Raw genomic sequence first — 19,857 nt, 5'->3', positions numbered from 1 at the left:
TGAAACCCCGTCTCTACTAAAAATACAAAAAAATTAGCCGGGCGTGGTGGTGGGCGCCTGTAGTCCCAGCTACTCGGGAGGCTGAGGTAGGAGAATGGCGTGAACCCGGGAGGCGGAGCTTGCAGTGAGCAGAGATTGCGCCACTGCACTCCAGCCTGGGCGACAGAGCAAGACTCCATATCAAAAAAAAAAAAAAAAAAAAAAAGAAGAAGAAGATGGAGCCACCATCTTGAACATGATTGGCACAACTGCCAATCAATGTCTGCAGCTCGGTTTTACAGACTGCTCTTCATTAGAAAGAAAAATAATTTGGGGTTGCTTTTCATTAAAAGGAAAACCTTACCGAGGACTTCCATATCCTCATTATCTGCCTAAGTAATTTCTTCTTAATTCCTTTATCAATTTTACCCAGCCCCTATTCAAGATGGAGTCACTCTGGTTCAAAGGCCTCTAACACCAGCGTTCAGATGAGCTGCTACTCCTCCGGAGGCAATTTGAAGTTGAGGGTCTGTGGCGCATGGGCACCCACCTGTTCCTGGCTGCTGGGTAGGTAGGTTTCCGCCTCCATCTATGCTTCTCCTGAAGCTTCTGCACCAGTAGTTCCAGTCCCACAGCCAGGAGTAGGGTGGCCAGGATGGATTAGTCCACATGATAGCAGTGATGCCCCCTGAGACAGGGTCCCTTTGGAGCTGGAGCTGGTGGGCATGATAGTGCTGCTCTCATTTACAGAAGGGGCCCCTGCTGTGGAGGTTTGTCTCAAGGCTGGGCCTAAGCAGGCCTGCAGCAGAGGCAGGCCCAGGGCCAGGAGCAGCCCTAGGCCAGGGTTTGCCATGGGCTGGGTGTCTGGTTGGCAGCACTGAGGAAGGGGCTTCTAGCACTGCGCCCCTCCTACTTCATATCAGTACATGAGTACCTGAGAGGCACCTGGCCTGGGCGTCTTTGACCTCTCTCAGATTTCTGGTCCATGCCCCTCCTCTTTTATAATCTTATGGGACCACTGTTTTATATGTGGTCCATTGTTGACCAGAATGTTTTTATACAGTACATGACTATAATTACTTGGAATTTTGGGGTGGAGGATGAAACCAGTGTTGTTGTTTTGTAATTTTTAAAAATAAACTTTCATATCATTGATTCCTTAAAAGAAGACTTATACTGGAGAGGAGACCAAGTTGCTCTGTGCGTCAACCCATGCTCATTGTCCTTCCATGTCCAAAGACCTCTTCTATGAAAGACAGCTGAGTGTTTCTCTGCTCCTAGGGCCCTTATGCTTTACATCATGTGACTTCTGCTTTTCTGGACCAGCAATGACTTAGTTCAAGGATTAACCTTTGAGACAGAGATAGCTAAAAGCCTCGCTATCAGCCCATGAAGTGTAACTGAACTCTGCCCAGCAAGAATGGTCAATATTGGATGTTGACTAACCGTAAAGCAGATCTCCCTTGGGAATTTGGAGGGAAACTTAAGTGAGCAGGAACTAGAGACACATTGAGGCTTCAGAAATCACAAGACAGTAAAAGCTAACACAGACCTTGAGGTGGAGAGAAGGCAAGTGGAGAGAACAGTGTTGGAGGATACAGAGGTACAAGCAGAGACTGAAATCAACCCACTTACAAGTTGGGAATCCTTGTCAGAAAAAGCAACAGAAGTTTACAGATGCATGGATCTTTGCAGATGTTGCTGTTGAGTGTAAGAGCTGCTATCAGTCCTCTACATTGTGTATTCTGAATGAGCTACAGTTCCAGCTGCTGGCTGAGTAGTTGCTAAGACACAACCTCTTGGTTCTTACTTCCCTTCCATATCTTTAGACCTACACCAACTAAGATAACTTGAAAATGTCATGTTTTTCTCAAACCCAAATAGGATTGACTGCTAAGGACATTTATACATTGCAAATAAATTATTTAATAGCAAATTTGTCTCCATTATCATATTTTTTAAAAACGAGATTTTAAATAATGCTAAATGAGTCTTACCTGTGTACATATTCTATTAGAGCTATTTGAGATCTGATAATACTTAGTAATTCTATTTGTCTATTTAACAGAAGCAATCAATTTATTTCAGATTACCTTTTATCCAAAGAGAAGGTAAAAGTATGCATCCTTTCCAATGGAACTTGTTATAATTCAAATAATTGAAAGTGAATGGAGAGAGATAAGAAAGTTAAGGATATTATCTGAACTAATTCAATTCCAATTTTCTTTTCTTTTTTTTTTTTTTTTTTGAGATGGAGTCTTGCTCTGTCGCCCAGGCTGGAGTGCAGTGGCGTGATCTCGGCTCACTGCAGGCTCCGTCCCCCGGGGTTCACGCCATTCTCCTGCCTCAGCCTCCCGAGTAGCTGGGACTACAGGCACCCGCCACCTCGCCCGGCTACTTTTTTTTTGTATTTTTAGTAGAGACGGGGTTTCACCGTGTTAGCCAGGATGGTCTCGATCTCCTGACCTCGTGATCCGCCCGCCTCGGCCTCCCAAAGTGCTGGGATTACAGGCGTGAGCCACCGCGCCTGGCCGATTCCAATTTTCAATAAAACAAATTCAATTCCTGTGTAACAATCTCCTCCCTGTTGATAAAAAAAAATCTGACAATGAAGTGGTGAATTTGGCAATAGGTCATGCATTCTAAGAAAATAATAGTTGATCAAAATTTGTGGAATCCGGCTGGCACAATGGCTCAAACCTGTAATCCCAGCACTTTGGGAGGCCAAGGCAGGTGGATCACCTGAGGTTAGGAGTTTGAGACCAGCCTGGCCAACATGGTGAAAACCCATCTCTACTAACGATACAAAAATTAGCCAGTAGTGGTGGTGCATGTCTTTAATCCCAGCTACTTGGGAGGCTGAGGCACAAGAATCGCTTGACCCTGGAAGAAGGAGGTTGCAGTGAGACAAGATTGCGCCACTGCACTCCAGCCTGGGTGACAGAGCGAGACTCTGCCTCAAAAAAAAAAAAAAAAAAAAAAAAAAAAAGAAAGAAAGAAAGAAAGTGTCCAAATACTTCAGCTGTAGAATTATTCTTTATACAGTTTCTGAGACCATTAGAGTCTTTTCTCTTCATTTTCTACATCTCCCTACTTAGCATTCACAAAAGGTGTGTTTTCTTTAGGCTTAGATTAGACCTAGAAAATTTTCTCTCACCATTTTTTTTTGTGGGGGATGGGGGAGGAAGAGAAAAAGGAGATAAACTTTGAAGCATGTACATTAATGCACTTAATGTCTGGAGCACAATGACTAAATTATTTTTAGTGTAAAAAATAATTTAAAATGACTGCATTTTATGATCTCTATTTCTGTATGCACTACCTTTGAATTTCTGTATTGGAATAATAGTACTGATATGATCGTCTCCATTAGTAGATTCATGAACTATCATGGTTTGGTTTACTCACTGGCTTACATACTTAATATTGAAATGCAACCATGTAGCAGTTTCACAGCACAGAGTGGCAACCAAGAGTTTTGTATACAGATAAGATTTAAGTGAAACTACACAGGACCATTGTTCAAAACAGAAGCCATGCTTTCCTTAAGGTTAAACACAGTTCCTTCAAATTTTTCTCTTTTGTTCTCTTCTTCTGTTATCAGATTGTGCTAGATTTTGCAATGGGGTCAAGGGTAGATGCAGAAGAAGACGGTGGGATTGTTTTGCCAAAATAAGACTGACATGTTCTAGACTGAGTGTAGTTTCTATTACTTGTTTAAGAATGAACACATAGAAACACAAGAAGATACAAAATGAATCAGGCTCAATATCCTTTCCTCTCTATCTGAAAATGTAAGGTAAGCTTCTTTTCTATTGTTAGTAAGAAAATATGAGAGTAGAAAATAGGTTTCACATTTTTTGATTTGTTCTTATATTAATAGATCTATTATTTATCATAGCTTTTTCACTTTCTGTGTGACTCTGAGCAATTTACTTACTCTTTCTGTGATTCAGTTTCCTCCTTTCCAAAGTGGAGACAATAATGTTCAGTTTACTTACACGTAGGGGTGGCCATAAGGATTAAATGAATGAATACTTATAAGGGTTAGCTCTTTTCTTCTTTTCCCTTCCCTTTTTGTCTTCCTCATCCTATTTGTATTTCATCCTTGTAGACTAGGAGTTACTACTTTCTGTGCATTCTGCTTAAATATATGCATCCTAAGATGATTTTTGAGTGACTGTACATGGTTTGTGCCAAGTATAAGAATGTCTTCTATTCTGCTTTCAACTCACTGCCTGCTTATCAATACTCTGATGGCCTTTTTGTCTATTAGAACCACATTAGACTGACAACAAGTTCTCTGTCTTGTTTTTCCAAATGGCCCTCGAAGCCAGTTATCCCTTGGCCATTATTTACGTTATTTCTAGCTTTAGGACCTCTATTATTTTTCCAGGGCTGCTGTAACAAAATACCACAGACTGGGTGGCTCAAACAATAGAAATTTATTTCTTCACAGTTCTGGAGCCTAGAAGTCCAAGATGAAGGTGTTGGCAGGGTTGGTTTCTTCTGAGGCCTCTCTCCTTGGCTTGTCAATGGCCGTCTTCTCCCTGGCTTCACATCATTTTCCCTCTGTGCACCTGTGTTCAGATTTCCTCTTCTTACAGGGACATCAGTCATATCAGATTAGGGCTCACCCTAACTGGCCTCATTTTAACTTAGTTACCTCCTTAAAGATGCTATCTCTAAATATGGTCACACTCTGAAGTACTGAGGATTAGAACTTCAGCATGTGAATCTTCAGGAAACACAATTTAGCCCATAATAGGACCTCACTTTTCTCATCAAGAAGCTGGTATCTTAAATTTCTGTCCAACTGCCTACCTTGTGAAATTTCCTAAACTTTTTCCTTATCTTCATAATTCACCACTGGTAAGTCATTTTTAAATTACGAAATGATACTCCATAGTCATCTTCTGTTTCAAAAATTATTGCTGGGCATGGTGGCTACAGGCATGAATCCTAGCACATTGGGAGGCCAAAGCAGGTAGGTCACCTGAGGTCAGGAGTTCGAGACCAGCCTGCCTAACATGGTGAAACCGCATCTCTACTAAAAAAAAAAAAAAACAAAAAAATTAGCTGGGCATGATGGTGGGCACCTGTTATCCCAGCTATTCGGGAGGCTGAGGAAGGAGAATCACTTGAGCCTGGGAGGCGGAGGTTGCAGTGAGCCAAGATTGTGCCACTGCACTCCAGCCTGGGTGACAGAGCAAGACTCTGACTCAAAATCAATAAATCAATCAATAAATAAATAGCCAGGCGAGATGTGGTGGTATGCCTGTAGATCTAGCTACTCAGGACGCTGAGGTCGGAGGATGGCTTGAGCCTGGGAGACTGAGGCTGCAATGATCATGAGCTATGATCATGCCACTGCAGTGGGACCCTGGCTCAAAAAAAAAAAAATTATTGATCAAAGTTAATCTCAGTACTGATCTCTGTGACATCTCTCCCATTGCATGGATTCCTCTAAAATTCAGGCTCTAACTTTTTGTACTAATATATATTTTTAATCCATGATAAAATATTTTCTGTGAATACAGTTGTCCCTCAGTATCTGTGGGGGGTTAGTTCCAGGACCTCTGGAGCACATCAAAATCTGCAGTGGCTCAAGTATCTGATAAAGTATTTGCATGTAACCTATGCATATGCTTCTATATACTTTATATAATCTCTTAAATCATTATAATACCTAATACAACAAAGATATATAATATGTAAATTATGTAAATAGTTGTTATACTCTGTCGTTTTAGGAATATTACAAGAAAAAATGCATCGTTATGTATTCAGTACCGATGCATTTTTCTTTTCCTGAATATTTTTGATCTATGGTTGGTTGAATTCATGGAAGAGGAACACATGGATACAGAGGGCTGCTAATTGTATAATCCAATAGTGAGTGATTCACCTTTAAGATAATCTTTGGTTCGAAGGTCTGAATTTAAAGTCTTTGCACTTTACCTTTGCTCGTTTTCCTTATTTATCTATTTTTCTTTTATTTTTTTTTGAGACGGAGTCTTGCTCTGTTGCCCAGGCTGGAGCACGGTGGTGTGATCTCAGCTCACTGCAACCTCCACCTCCTGGGCTCAAGCAATTCTCCTGCCTCAGCCTCCTGAGTTGCTGGGATTACAGGTGCACGCCACCATGTCTGGCTGATTTTTGTATTTTTAATAGAGACGAGGTTTCACCATATTGGTCAGGCTGGTCTTGAGCTCCTGTCCTCAGGTGATCCATACCAGCCTTGGCCTCCCAAAGTATTGAGATTACAGGCATGAGTCACCATGCCCGCCCCTTATTTATTAATTTACCTCTTCAAAGAATGCTACTAGACGACTATAATATCCCCTTACAGAAACCATATTACTCTTTTCCCAGTAGATTACCCTCTCTAAATATTTATTGAGTCAGGGAAAGGAACATGGGTTCTTTTGTTGAACTTCAATGTTGAGTGTATAGTCAAGGTATTGTATAGTTCCAAGACCATTAAAATGAATTATTAGATACAAAGCATTTTCAAGAATGACATTTAGGTTAACTGGTTATGACTAGGAATACAGAAATCAATACCTGACGAAAAGTGATGCAAAAATCAGGAAATGAGATTGGAAATATGAAAGACAGGTTACCAAAATAGGATCAGAGAATCAGATAAGGAGAATTAGCCAGAAACAAACAAACAAGTAAGCAATAATAATAATAATAATAGTAAAATAAAAATTAAAAAGCCCCAAAACTCTGAAAGTCAATGATATTCTCAATGGCTGGATCAAGGTCAATGTATTTGTAGCTGAGCTACAGAAAGTAAAATGTTTACCTGGTGGCATGTCTTATCCCACTGAATTTTGGATTATAGATTAAGCTCTATGTATTCATCCTATCTATATTCACAAAGGGGTCCCTCTCTTGCTTATAAAGTCTCTATCAAACTTCCAAGTAGGGAGGTAAGACTCTACAATTACAAAATCCTTTTAATATTTTATAAATCCTTAAATCTCTGGCAATTTATAAAGTTAATGAGAAATTGTATGTATTTCTACATTTTCACCTTATAATTTTTTAAAACTGTTAAGTGAATACTATCTGGTCCCAATATATTAACATCAAATTTATTAATTGGGTAGAATAATGAATAATGGAATTAGTAAAGTAGTTGGTGTCAGGAAATTGGGTCTGAGGTCTCAGACTTTTTGCCTATGTGATATTGGGTATCGGTCCTTCAGGAATTTGCCATTACTTATAAACAGAGCATAACACAGATATATGTATTGGGTTGACCATGTCAACTAAAAGATAGGTTATTAGCTTATCTTTCTGAATTTGCCTACATTTTGGAACTGACTTTGGACTTCATTTAAGTGGATAGATCCAAGATTGTAATTCCCACCTAAGAGAAACTAAGCAAGTTTATAGGGGACAATTGAGAGTCTAATGCTTAGAAAACTATGGATAAGTTAGACATAAGTTAAAAACTCTGTGACGGGTTGGAGGCAAAACTTAAGAGCCAAGAGTATAGAGTTGGAAATGGAAGAAGACTAAGAACTGATGAGTAATAAAGGAGTAAAGTCTAGAGCAACTGCTGAAACAGCCTTAGCTTGTCAATAGCTAAACTTTATCCAATTGATTGTATCAATAGGATGATTTTGGCTATAATTTATAGAAAACCACAGCTTAAAGAAATCAGGGAAACTTATTTTCATATAAGAGGACATTTGAAGACAGAGTGATCTAAGTTTAGTTAATTCAGTGGCTCAGCAGCATCATTAAGAAATAAGTTTTTGTTTTATGTATATTTTGGTAGATCTGCCATACTCAACATGGAAACCAGTTCTCAGATGGATTCTCTGTACAGGTGTAAGATGGCTAAAGCAATTCCCATCTTCATAATCAGATATCAAAATGTCCAGTAACAGAAAGGGTGCTTCCTTCCTTGTGTCATTATTTTAAAATTCATTTACATGTCATTTTTAAATGACTATATTAGATTTCTAGGGCTGCCATAACCAAATACCACAGGCTGAGCTTCCTAAAGAACAGAAATTTATTTTCTCATAGTCTGCAGGCTCGAAGTTCAACACCAAGATTCACAGGTTTGTTTTTTCTGAGGTCATCCTCCTTGGCTTACAGCTGGCCACATTCTCTGTGTCCCCACATAGTCTTTCCTCTGTTTGCTTATCCCTGGTGTCTTTTCAAGTGTCCATAGTTCCTCTCAAAATGACATCAGTCAGATTGGATTAGGGACTTCCCATAAAACCTCATTTAATTTTAGTAACCTCTTTATAGACATTATCTCAGCTGGGTTCAGTGGCTCATGCCTGTAATCCCAGCACTTTGGGAGGCTGAGGCGGGATCACCTGAGGTCAGGAGTTTGAGACCAGCTAGCTTGACCAACATGGTGAAACCCTGTCTCTACTAAAAATACAAAATTAGCCATGTGTAGTAGTGCATACCTGTAAACCCAGCTACTTGGGAGGCTGAGGCAGGAGAATTGCTTGAACCTGGGAGGTGGAGGTTGTAGTGAGCCGAGCTTGTGCCATTGCACTCCAGCCTGGGCAACAAGAGCAAAACTCCATCACACACACACACACACACACACACACACACACACACACACACACACAAGGTGTTATTTCCAAAGGCATTCATATTCTAAGGTACTGGGAGTTAGAGCTTCAACGTATTAATTCAACACAATTCTGCTCATAACGGTAGTGGAAAACCTTTCCATAAGTTTCTCCCATATCATCTCCCCTCATGTCTCATTGTGCAGAATTAGGTCATGTGATCATGCTTAAACCAATCCTTGGAAAAACAACTGGGGTCATAATTATTGGTATAGGCTTATCAAGATTTACTCTTGGAACTGAAAATGGGGTAACCCCTCCTTGGTTCTCGTGGCAGGAAGAGAGGTAGACATCAAATGAAATCAGGGCCCTTCAAGCATGGAAAAAACTGGGGAGGACTTCTAGGAAGGCAGCCAACTGGTGTGCACAATCATCATAGGTTTGTGGTTTATGGGTGATTTGGGTTGGTCTAAACGTTTAGAAGCAGAGGAGACTGTAAATACACTAAGGAGTGGTGAAATCTAGGGAACTGAAAGCAGACATCTAGGATCCTTTTAGAATGTCAAGTTAGAGAAGTGGTTAGCAGAGAAGCTGGTATGTGGGAGACAATATTAATGAATAACCAGAGATAAAATGAGTTTGAAAGGGTGGCTCAATAAATAGTTCTACAAATTCTGACTTTGCAGTGCAGGCAGTATACTGTATCCTCTATGAGTTATTTACCCTCTCTGATCTTTATTTGTAAAATGGGAATGATAAAGTCAATTATTTCACAGATTTGGAGGATTAAATAAGACAACTCAGTGAAAAAGTTATTAAAATATAAGGTAATACATGGATATTAGAAACTATTATAGTGTATAGTTAATGGCATTGAATCTAGTATATGACTTGTCTGTGTCCAGCACAATCTGAGAAAATTAGTTTAGTAAAGACTTAGAATTTCTATAATCTGTTTTGTGTCTTATTTTTATTTATGAGGGCATAATTTGCACTATGATCATCAAGTAGTTACCTGGATTAAAAAAACGCCCTGTTCAAAAGGTTTATCTCTAAGTTTTGGTCTATTCTGTTCTGGTGTATTCTTATCCCTGTGTGAATATGCTGTTGATCCCCTGGGTCTGTGTATGTGCATGCAAGAGTGTGTGTGTGTGTGTGTGTGTGTGTGTGTGTGTAAGTAATGGTTAAACAAGGTTTATGTGCTATTTTGTGTGGGTATGAACCTATGAGTTGGTTGACTTCCCTTCTGTCATTGAGAAAGTTTTAAAAAAAAAATCCACTCTTGGTTGGATGTGGTGGCTCATACCTGTAATCCCAGTACTTTGGGAGGCTGAGGAAGGAGAATTGCTTGAGCTCAGAAATTTGAGACCAGCCTGGGCAACATAGCTATACCCTATCTCTATAAAAACAAACAAACAAACAAACAAACAAATAAATCTGCTCTTTTAAAGGTGCTTAAGGCTTTCCTTCTTAACATGAACAAAAGCAGGAAAGGTTAAGCAGTCTTTTGAATTTGAGATACATATGCCTGTAGCTATTTAATTAATTAGAATGTGGGTCTTACATAAACTTAGAAAGATCATTGAGCTAGATAATCCCTTTTGTCTTTTTCATGGCTAATAATGATGGTAACAGTATTTACTTTTACCCATTCTTGAACTGTTGTAACTTAACAGTATGTGACAGCAGTAATTCTTATTATATATGTATATGTTGTACAGTTATATCTTAGCTTGGGTTTGCCAGGAAGCAGAGCTTGAGACAAAGTCTTGTTTTAAAACACTTTATTGGGAAGTATTGAGTCCAGAGATCAAAGGTGAGCCAAACAGAAGAGAGATGCAAAATGACAATGTATTATCAAGTATATATGTCTACAGGCAACTAGCTCCTCAATCACCCAGGCACATAAAATGTGTCTTAGGACTGTCCTTCTGAGACAGTGAGAAACCTGTATCTCTCAATGGTCAAATGATTGGCTTTACCCTCCTAGGTAACACATGCATGGGTGCAAAACATGCTTCTGTGTCATCTCACATAGTGTGGTCAACAGAGAACACCTGGGCAGAAGATGAGAGGCTCCTGGGGACTGGTCTGAGACAAGGTGCTGTAAAAGAAAACCTATATTAAAGTGGTTGGAAGTGCACAGACTGGTTGCTTCACCTGCAGCCAGAATGCAAGACAGGTGAGGTGAAAGTCTAAAAGGATGCATAAAGACATATTCAATGTACTGTATACATACACCAATAATTTTGGTTAACTAGGGTTTCACTGTTAAAATAAATATTATTACTAGTAAGTATTTATAGTGAAGATATATTTGAGTCTATATAAAAATGTAAGTTCTCTTCAATGTGGATGGCATTATCTATTTTAAAATGCTTGCTTATGAAATATAATACATTTTGTAGAGGAAATACAATATTCAAGGGTCCTGTTTTAAGCTTTGTTTCCTCTTGAAAGTGAGAAGCCTTAATGATTGAAGAAGAATAGCACTTGGTTGATTGCTTTTATGTTTAAGGTACCAGGAATTTAATTTGTGTGCTAGTAGGTTCAGCATGAGTGTGAAAATGTGATATAGTGTTTAAGAGTTGTCATGTAGTCAGGAAACATTTTCTTTGGAATTAAAAAAACAATATTATCCCTTAGTGACTTTTTGTTGACATTCAACTAATGACAGAGAGACATTTCTGTTTCCTTAGAGGGCACTATGCTTTGAGCTATAATGCCATAATCTGGGGGTAATTTCTGAGCTCCATTGCTTGCTGTGTCTGGAGCTGGACAAGATGAAATGGCAATATCAAGCAGCCACCTGCATTTTATTATAACTTCTTATTGTAATTATAGTTATCATGGCCATTTTGGTCCAACTTAGTTTTTCCAGATGAATGGGTTAATTTGCAAACTTGTGGTGATGAGGTAAGTTGTGATATTCATGGTCTTTCAGAAACAATAATTTTAAATGGTATTAACCAGTTGCACTGAGAAGGCTTTCTTACTGGATAATTTTTATGAAGGAAATGCTAGCCTGTTTGATATTACTTTTCATAAGAAGTTATTTTCAAGAAGGGTGTGGTCTATAGAAGAAGGCAGTTTTTCTTAGTACTACTCTTTTCTTTCAGTACCAAGGTCAAGCATTTCATGATGAAATTTAAGAGCGGTTGTTAAACTTTGAGCAGAGGAAGAAATTTCATCAACCAACTACTTTCTTCCTGTGGATGCCCTGATTTGAACTATTTCCTTATGAAACTGGCATACAGATTGCAGAAAAGTTGAAATTAATTGACATCCATATGTTTTATTTGGCATCATAAGCTGCTGTCTCTCAAATTTTTTTCTTCTTTCTTTGAGACAGGGTCTCACTCTGTCACCCAGGCTGGAGCACAGTGGCACAATTATGACTCACTGCAGCCTCGACCTCCTGGGCTTAGGTGATTCTCCCACCTCAGTCTCCTGAGTAGCTGAGACTACAGGTGTGCACCACTATGCCTGGCTAATTTTTGTGTATTTTGTTTTTTAGAGATGAGGTTTTGCCGTGTTGCCCAGGCTGATCTCAAACTCCTGGGCTCAAGTGATCTGCCTGCCTTGGCCTCTCAAAGTGCTGGGATTACAGGCCTGAGCCACCACGCCTGGCCCATCACTTTTAACAGGTGTTTGTTTGTCTCTTAACTGAAAAAAAATTTCCTGAACTTTCTTTCTGCAAATTGAGATCAAATTCCAAATAGGGTTTCCATATTTTCATAAAGTTTCTGAAATATTCAAACCTGTATTAAATACAAAGCAAAAACATGCATATAAAAGGCAAATACCTTTTTGGCATCTAGAATGAGGATAAAGAGCACAAAAATTTAGGAAAAAAAGAAAAGAGCTATTTTTTTATTTTGATGCCACAATGAACAAATTTTATCCTGTTGGCTAACCTGCAACATGGCAATAAAAATGCTCCTTCCGTAACTTCTCTATGAAGGCTGAAAAAAAAATGTTTTCAGAAAGTGAATGTTATCAAGTCAATCACATAAGACTCCACCTGTCAAACAGCAGACTTAAGTTGGTGATGCTTATGACGCTGTCTACCAAAAAGGAGCAGCTTGAACATAAAAATAGGTCTGTGCCCTAGGGAGGAATGCTGTTTCCTTTCCTGTGATATGCGTCTGCAGACTCATCTCCATCAAGAATACCAATTCAAATTGATGTTATTGCTTTCTATTCTGTATTTTTTAGATGTCTGCCAAGTACCTACCAATGTGTAAAGTGGCACAGAAATTCAACAGGAGGAAGACAAGGTCTCTGGTTTTTTGAAAACTTTTTTTGAGAGAGATGTGTTGAAACAGACACATTTAAATAATGCAAAACAAAACCCTGTAAATGACTAAAAGCCATAGTAGATCTTTAGCTAGAAAATAATTTTATGAGGCCGGGCGTGGTGGCTCATGCCTGTAATCCTAGCACTTTGGGAGGCCAAGGCGGTGGATCACCTGAGGTCAGGAGTTCGAGACCAGCCTGGCCAACATAGTGAAACCCAGTCTCTACTAAAAATACAAAAAATTAGCTGGGTGTAGTGGCAGGCGCCTGTAATCCCAGATACTTGGGAGGCTGAGGCAGGAAAATTGTTTGAACTCGGGAGGCAGAGGTTGCAGTGAGCCAAGATTGCACCATTACACTCCAGCCTGGGCAACAAGACCAAGACTCCATCGCAAAAAAAAAGAAAAAAATTATATGGCAGATTGCTTCTACATTAACTACAGCAACATTTTACAAGCCTGCAAAATTTTTGTAAAAAAACAAAAACAACTAAAACTAGCTTCATGGATCCTACTCCAGAGAGTTTGATTAAGTAAGTTGAATGCATGAACTAAGACTCTGTATTTTTAACAAGCTTCTGAGGTGCTTCTGCTAATCACTGAGTTATTGACCACTGGAGCAAGAGGAGCTAAAGAGGACCTGCTGTAGTCTGCTTGATACACACACATCATACAAATATTAATCACTGAGAAAAATTGAAAAGGCAATTTTATTGGCAATACAGATAAGGAAAGAAACAACATCAACTGCACTTCCACCTTTATCCTATTTTTCCTCCCAGGTGCAAGTCATCCCTGAGGAAGTAGTGACCAGCTGTGGATGCTACGCTGAGGCCCTTCTTTAAGAGTGATCTGATGGCACTGGATGTCTGCTGAGGCTTGTGTCTAGAAGGAATGAAAGGATGTGCCAACAACAGCAGTTGTCTCCTCGTTTTCAAAGCTCAGGCCTCATGGTATCCCCTTCTCTTGGTTCTGTTTACTAAAACATATCAGTGCCTGACTATGCCTGAATGATCCATCTTCCTTAAGGCTGCTACACCATAACTAGGAGCTTTAAAAAAAAGGGGGGGGCATTTACTCTCTGAGGCACTCAAAAAAGCACATGCTTTTAATTGAGGGATGGGGGTGACAATGGATCATTCTGTTGATTTTAACTATCTCATATTTGTTAACAGCATCATTTCCATGGATAGCTTTCTGAAAGACTGCCTATCCACTTAGAGGTGAGGAGAAGTAATAGGGGAGGAAACCCTGCCGAGCTGCAAAAAGTTCTAAATCCAGTCCTTTAATTATCTTGCTTAAAATTCTTTATTGGCTCTTTGATACCCTCAGAATAAAGCAAACTGCTTAAACATGACTTACAAAGTAATTGCTATAGTTTGAATATTGTCCCCCAAATCACATGTTGAAATTGATTCCTAGTGTCAGAGGCGGGGACTGTGAGAGGTGTTGGGGTCATGGGGCATATCTCTCATGAATAGATTAATGCTCTGTCAGCATGGGGTGGGGTTGTGTGAGTTCTCACTCTTATTAGTTCCCAAAGAGTTGGTTATTCAAAAAGAGCCTGGCATCTCCCTCCTTTTTGTCTCTTGCCTCCTCTCTCACGTGTGATCTCTGTGCATGTGCCTTTCCGTTGCCTTCCCCATGAGTGGAAGTGGCCTGAAGCCAATGCTGGTGCCATGCTTCCTGTACAGTCTGCAGAACTATGAGCCAAATAAACCTATTTTCTTTATAAATTACTCAGCCTCAGATATTCCTTCATAGCAACACAAATAGAGTAAGACAGCCATTAATATCATGCCTATACCTGAGACAGTGGTATGCATTAAACATTACATCTGCCCCTACTTTTCTAGGTCATTATAATTTTGGGGGTGGGGTGGGAGAAGCATATGACTAGTGCTAACCAATAGGCTGTGGGTAGAAGTGATGTGTGTCACTTCTAGACTGAAGTATATAAAAGTCATTCAGATGTCTGTTCCCCTGCTGTGGTGATCAAGAAAGCCAGATGTTTCTATTGTTGCGGATATGAGATGTTGTCTCCATTACTCTAGATCCCTAAGCGTTTGTGTTCATTAGATGCTGCAGCTAAACTGAAATTCTTTCAGTTCCTTGGTCATGCTTACCTGTCATCCTTTGCAAATACTTTTCTCTTTCTAGATTGCTTTTCCATCTCTTCTTCAAGTGTCTCTTTTTCTTTTTTTTTTTTTTTTTCAAAAATCTGGTTTAATCTTCTACCTAGACCACTAAAACCTTTCTCCATATCAGCAATAAGGCTGTTTTTCTTTCTTGTTATTCATCCTTTTTCTTTTCTTTTTTTTTTTTTTTTTTTTTTGAGATGGAGTCTCTCTCTGTCGCCCAGGCTGGAGTGCAATGGCACGATCTCGGCTCACTGCGACCTCCACCTCCCGGGTTCAAGCGATTCTCCTGCCTCAGCCTCCTGAGTAGCTGGGACTAGAGGCGCACACCACCACGCCCTGATAATTTTTTGTATTTTTGGTAGAGATGGGGTTTCATCATGTTGGCCAGGCTGGTCTCAAACTCCTGACCTTAAGTGATCCTCCTGCCTCGGCTTCCCAAAGTGCTGGGATTACAGGTGTGAGCCACCGTGCCTGGCCCAAGTGTCTAACTCTTTTCTTCTCTTCTTGGTCAGAACATCACTTTCTCTGGGAAGCTTATTTTGATCTTCTAGGTTTACGTTAGGTGTTCTTTCTATAGAATTATCCTGCACTTATCACACCATGAGGTAATTAGTTTCCTGCTTCTTTATCCTTGCACTTCTTTGAAGGATTGAATGAACCAACTCCCCAGGGCTGAGTTTGGAGAGCTGGGGCAAAAGGTGGAGTGAGGGAGGCAGCATGGCAGCATCTGGAAAGCTGTGGAAAATTTGCCTTCAGGGCATGCAGTTGATGGTTACCAACCCCCATTCTATTGCCTGGTTGATTGTTAGACCTCTTACACCTTCTGGGTTGCTCTCTGCCTATTGGCTTGCCATAATTCATAAAGGATACGTTAGCGTCTATTGCCAAAGATTAAAAAAGCCAGCTGGTTTCAGAATACTAAGTGGCAAATGTTTACTATAAGTCAGATGAAGACAGGCTGTTCCCTTAGCAATATTTTGCTCTAAGTAAGAGGAAAATTAGTCTAAAATTAATTTAAGCTATAAATTATAATGTCAAAAAGAATCAGTGCATATCTATCTACTTCTTTTTGAGGTATCATTTGCACCTAAAGTAATTTTCTTAATATGGGAGCAGTCTGTTTAGATTAGAAAAGCACAAGCAAGGCACTTCAAATACTATATTTTTCTTTTGTTCTGCTTTGTTCTGGGTTTGGAAGCCTAGGAACACTCAGCTGAATTGTGTTTGGACAAGAATAGTGGCCACTTGTGAATGTAGACCATTGTTAAAATGCACTTTGTATGTTCTAGTAAAAGTTATTCACCCCAAAATCTTGTTTTAGCTAGCAAACTGACTCAATCTGAAAGTAGATGAGTTTTAAAAAGTCAAATAAAATACAATTTCCTATTTCCTTTTTTCATTTTAAGCCTATTCTCTGATGATTCCTTTCTCATATTTAAAATTCTACTGGGCTCAGGTAAGAGGCAGTCAGATAATTAAAAAAGAAGTTAAAGAGAAATGCAATAGGTGAATGTTTTCTAGAAGCTCAGAAAAGGCTGAGTGTATCCATTGCCATTTGTTTGAGTCTATTAGGGAGCTATAGTGCAGAATATTGAATCTGAGCATAGTGATTTTTCTAGATGTCAGCATCAGTAGACAGAGGGCTTGCTCTTCATCAAGGCAATCTTTACCCTTTGTAAGCTTGGCTCTGAATAAATAGAAAGTATTGATTAAGAAAAGTGAGGAAAGGGTATAATTTTGATGTTTCTTAGGTTTTAGATAGTACTCCTGGTGTTTATTATCTGCATTGCTCTCTGCTGTGAGCCCAGGGTGTTTCTTCAGAAACGTTCTGTGTTCTGCCCTTAATAAGCTTTTGGGTTAAGTAAAAAAGAAATAGAAAGCTTTTTCTCTGCCTTTGAAGAGTGTAGGAATGGTTAGAGAGACAAAACACAGAAAATGTAAGCGCAATTAGCAAGCATCGGGGGAACATGGGCAAAATAATCTGGTATGAAGTAAGGTCTGTGGAGTAAAGAATCATATATCGTGGAGAGAGCATAGCAGTGTGTTAGAACGGGTTTGGACTGCTTGGGTTTGATATCATTCAGTACTATTATATTTAATTTGTGACATTAAGAAAATTACTTAATCCCTAGGCAAAATAAAGATAATACAACATTCACTTCATTTGGTTCTAAGGACCAAACAAGATAATATGTAGAAAGTGATTATCATGATACCTACAACATAGTATATGCTCAAAAAACATTAGCAATTATTATCAATATCATAGGCAATATTTTTGATTAGGGAATTATCTCACTTAAAGGAAGTAATTTTCTACTCACTTCCTAACATGCTATCTTTCTCTCTTGTTTTTCTTATCTCATTTCCAAACTCAGCATTATCTTGACCCTTTAAAAAGTTTCTTAAAGTTGAGAAATAATAAAACCTATTATTAAAAATAATGTACCAGCCAAAGGCAAACTGCCTTAAATGCATTACTCTCTAATCTCTCCAACAACTAATAAAGTAGATGGTGAGTACAGACGAATATATACATATCCACATAAATAAGTGTTTTCATATTTTGCTTCATATATCAACCTAGGGAATCTGAATAAAAAATGTTTCCATTTATGATCCAGCTTTTCTTGCAATTTCAGTGCAAACTAGTAGTAATATTTGCCAAGAAAGATCATAATTGCTATATAATAATATAAATATAAATATATAGTAATAATAGCTAACACTTATACAATTGTTGTCAAGCACTCTTCTAATATATACATATATGTATGTGTAAGAATTAATTTAATACAATTACAGAAAGTCAAATTGATTATGAGGACCACCAATAATGTATTCTTTTGGCCACTCTATACTGCTTTTTATCAGCTCTGGATATATTTAACCCAATTTTAAAATTCTGGAATTCCTTAATTTCTAGAATTTGTATCTCTCAGTCAATGGTTAAAAAAGAAAATGATTAAAAAACAAAAACGGAATTAATTCTTGATAACATGTTTTCTTATTGCCCCGGAAAATCAACAATGACATCAATAACAATAGAGTCTTATAGCCTAAACAGAGTTCCCATGATAATTAGGAAACATTTGTGTCAAAATGTCAAACTGTCTTCCCAAGATCAGGTTTTCCTAACATGTTTATTATCAGCAACTTTTTTTTTTCTCTTTTCCAGTCACAATTTCCTTTTATTACAAGACTGTACTTGCACAGCAATATTTCCTTAAGCAAGAGATGGAGATGTTCAGGAGTAGCACATGTAATACCTGAGCTAGGTGTAGGTTTTGTTATCAGGGATACTGTGGAAGACAATAACGGAAAGGGGCCTCATGCCAAGGATGCAAGCAGCCTCTAGAAGCTGGGGAAGACAAGAAAAACCATTTTACTTTCCAGCCTCCCTGTGGATCCATTTTGAACTGACTTCCAAAACCATAAGACAACACTTTTGTCTTGTTTTAAGCCATTACATTTGTGTTAATTTGTTACAGTGGCAGTAGTAAACTAATGTTGATACTAAATGGGAGGATCATTGTTCAAATCTGGTCTTCAAATGTGTCTATTCCAACTAAAATGTGTTTATGATCCTAAGTGATGTATTTTGTTCATTTTAACATCTTGGGAATTGAGATGCATCTTAGAATCAATGACATCTTAGAATTGCTGCTGGTCAGATGGCAAAGGTGCTGTAGTGGCGTTACCCTTCTTTTTGGAACCTAGAAGCACTGTCAACAAAATTTGCAGAAGGAGTATCAACTATTTCAAAGAAAATGTCAGAAAAATATCATGGCGCTCTATTGAAACCATTTTGTTTTGAAATAATTGCCTACTTTCAGAAAAAAATGATGCAAATAATTTGCATCAAAGATAACATTTTGCCACATTTTGTTTTACCATTCTATCTGTATCTAAGTAATATATATTGGTGTTTTTTTTTCTGAATAATTTGAGAGTAAGTTTCGGGCATGCAGACACAATGCCCTTTACACCTAAATAATACTATACTTCAATGTGTATATTCTAAAAATAAGGTCATTTTCTAACATAACCATAGTACAGACATCAAAATTAGTCCATTAGCATTGATGAAATATTCTTATCTAGACATTCCAATTTTGTCAATTGTCCCATGGATGCCACTCCCCCGCCACCCCACCCTGGCCTTTTTTGAGACAGAGTCTCGCTCTGTCTGTTACCCAGGCTGGAGTGCAGTGGCCCCATCTTGGCTCACTGCAACCTCCAGCTCCTGGGTTCAAGCCATTCTCGTGCCTCAGCCTTCTGATTGTTTTGTAATTTTGGTAGAGACTGGGTTTCGCCACATTGGCCAGGCTGATCTCGAACCTCTGACCTCAATTGATCAGCCCGCCTTGGCCTCCCAGAGTGCTGGAATTACAGGCATGAGCCACCACTCCCTGCCCCACAGATGCCCTTTTTTAGCAAAAGAAATAATTCTCGTCAGGGTCACATGTTGTATTCAATTGTCTTGTCTCTTTAGTCTCCTTTAATCTGAAAAATTCTTCAATCTTTCCTTCTCTTTTATGACCTAACATTTCTTAAGATTACAGGCCAGTTATTTTGTAAACGTATCTTAATTTGAGTTTGTTCTGATGTTTCTTCATGATTAGATTCAGGTTATACTTTCTGTGGTGGAGGAGAAGCGGGTAAGGAAAATCACAGATATTTATTTTCAGTGTAGCATATTAGGAGTTACCTGATGATGTCATTTTGTCTTATCACTGATGTTAACTTTGATTACTGGGTTAACATGACGTCACCAGGTTCCTCCACACTGTAGTTACTATTTTTCCTTTGGTAATCAACATGTATCATGTAGGAAGAAACTCTGTGCTCACTTAAATATCTTTTTTCTTTTCATCA

At 38.7% G+C, this 19,857-nt stretch overlaps 1 protein-coding gene across 3 annotated transcripts in view, besides 1 other annotated feature; it reads left to right on the top strand.

Annotated features, from left to right (window-relative positions):
- The window catches only part of LGSN (lengsin, lens protein with glutamine synthetase domain), a 297,657-nt gene that overhangs the window by 180,521 nt on the left and 97,279 nt on the right, over positions 1-19,857 (top strand). For 2 of the 3 annotated variants that reach the window (XM_017010930.3, XM_011535892.4), the window contains exons 3-4: positions 10,531-10,722; positions 13,621-13,791. The gene's annotated coding sequence lies outside the window, so the exon portion shown is untranslated. Of the gene's footprint in view, positions 1-412; positions 551-10,530; positions 10,723-13,620; positions 13,792-19,857 lie in introns of all 3 variants that reach the window. The other variant, XM_047418866.1, reaches the window with a different exon arrangement.
- Positions 3,434-3,523: an enhancer, noted in NCBI's record as "active region_24715". NCBI's record gives its function as "activates an Ori minimal core promoter by ATAC-STARR-seq in GM12878 lymphoblastoid cells {active_cell/tissue: GM12878}" and the evidence as "EXISTENCE:reporter gene assay evidence [ECO:0000049][PMID:35858748]".

The sequence above is a fragment of the Homo sapiens genome, chromosome 6 (genome assembly GCF_000001405.40).
Source record: "Homo sapiens chromosome 6, GRCh38.p14 Primary Assembly".
In the NCBI taxonomy this organism is placed as follows: domain Eukaryota; kingdom Metazoa; phylum Chordata; class Mammalia; order Primates; family Hominidae; genus Homo; species Homo sapiens.
Note: the sequence above shows the minus strand (reverse complement) of the source record. Positions and strands in the feature narration are given on the sequence as shown.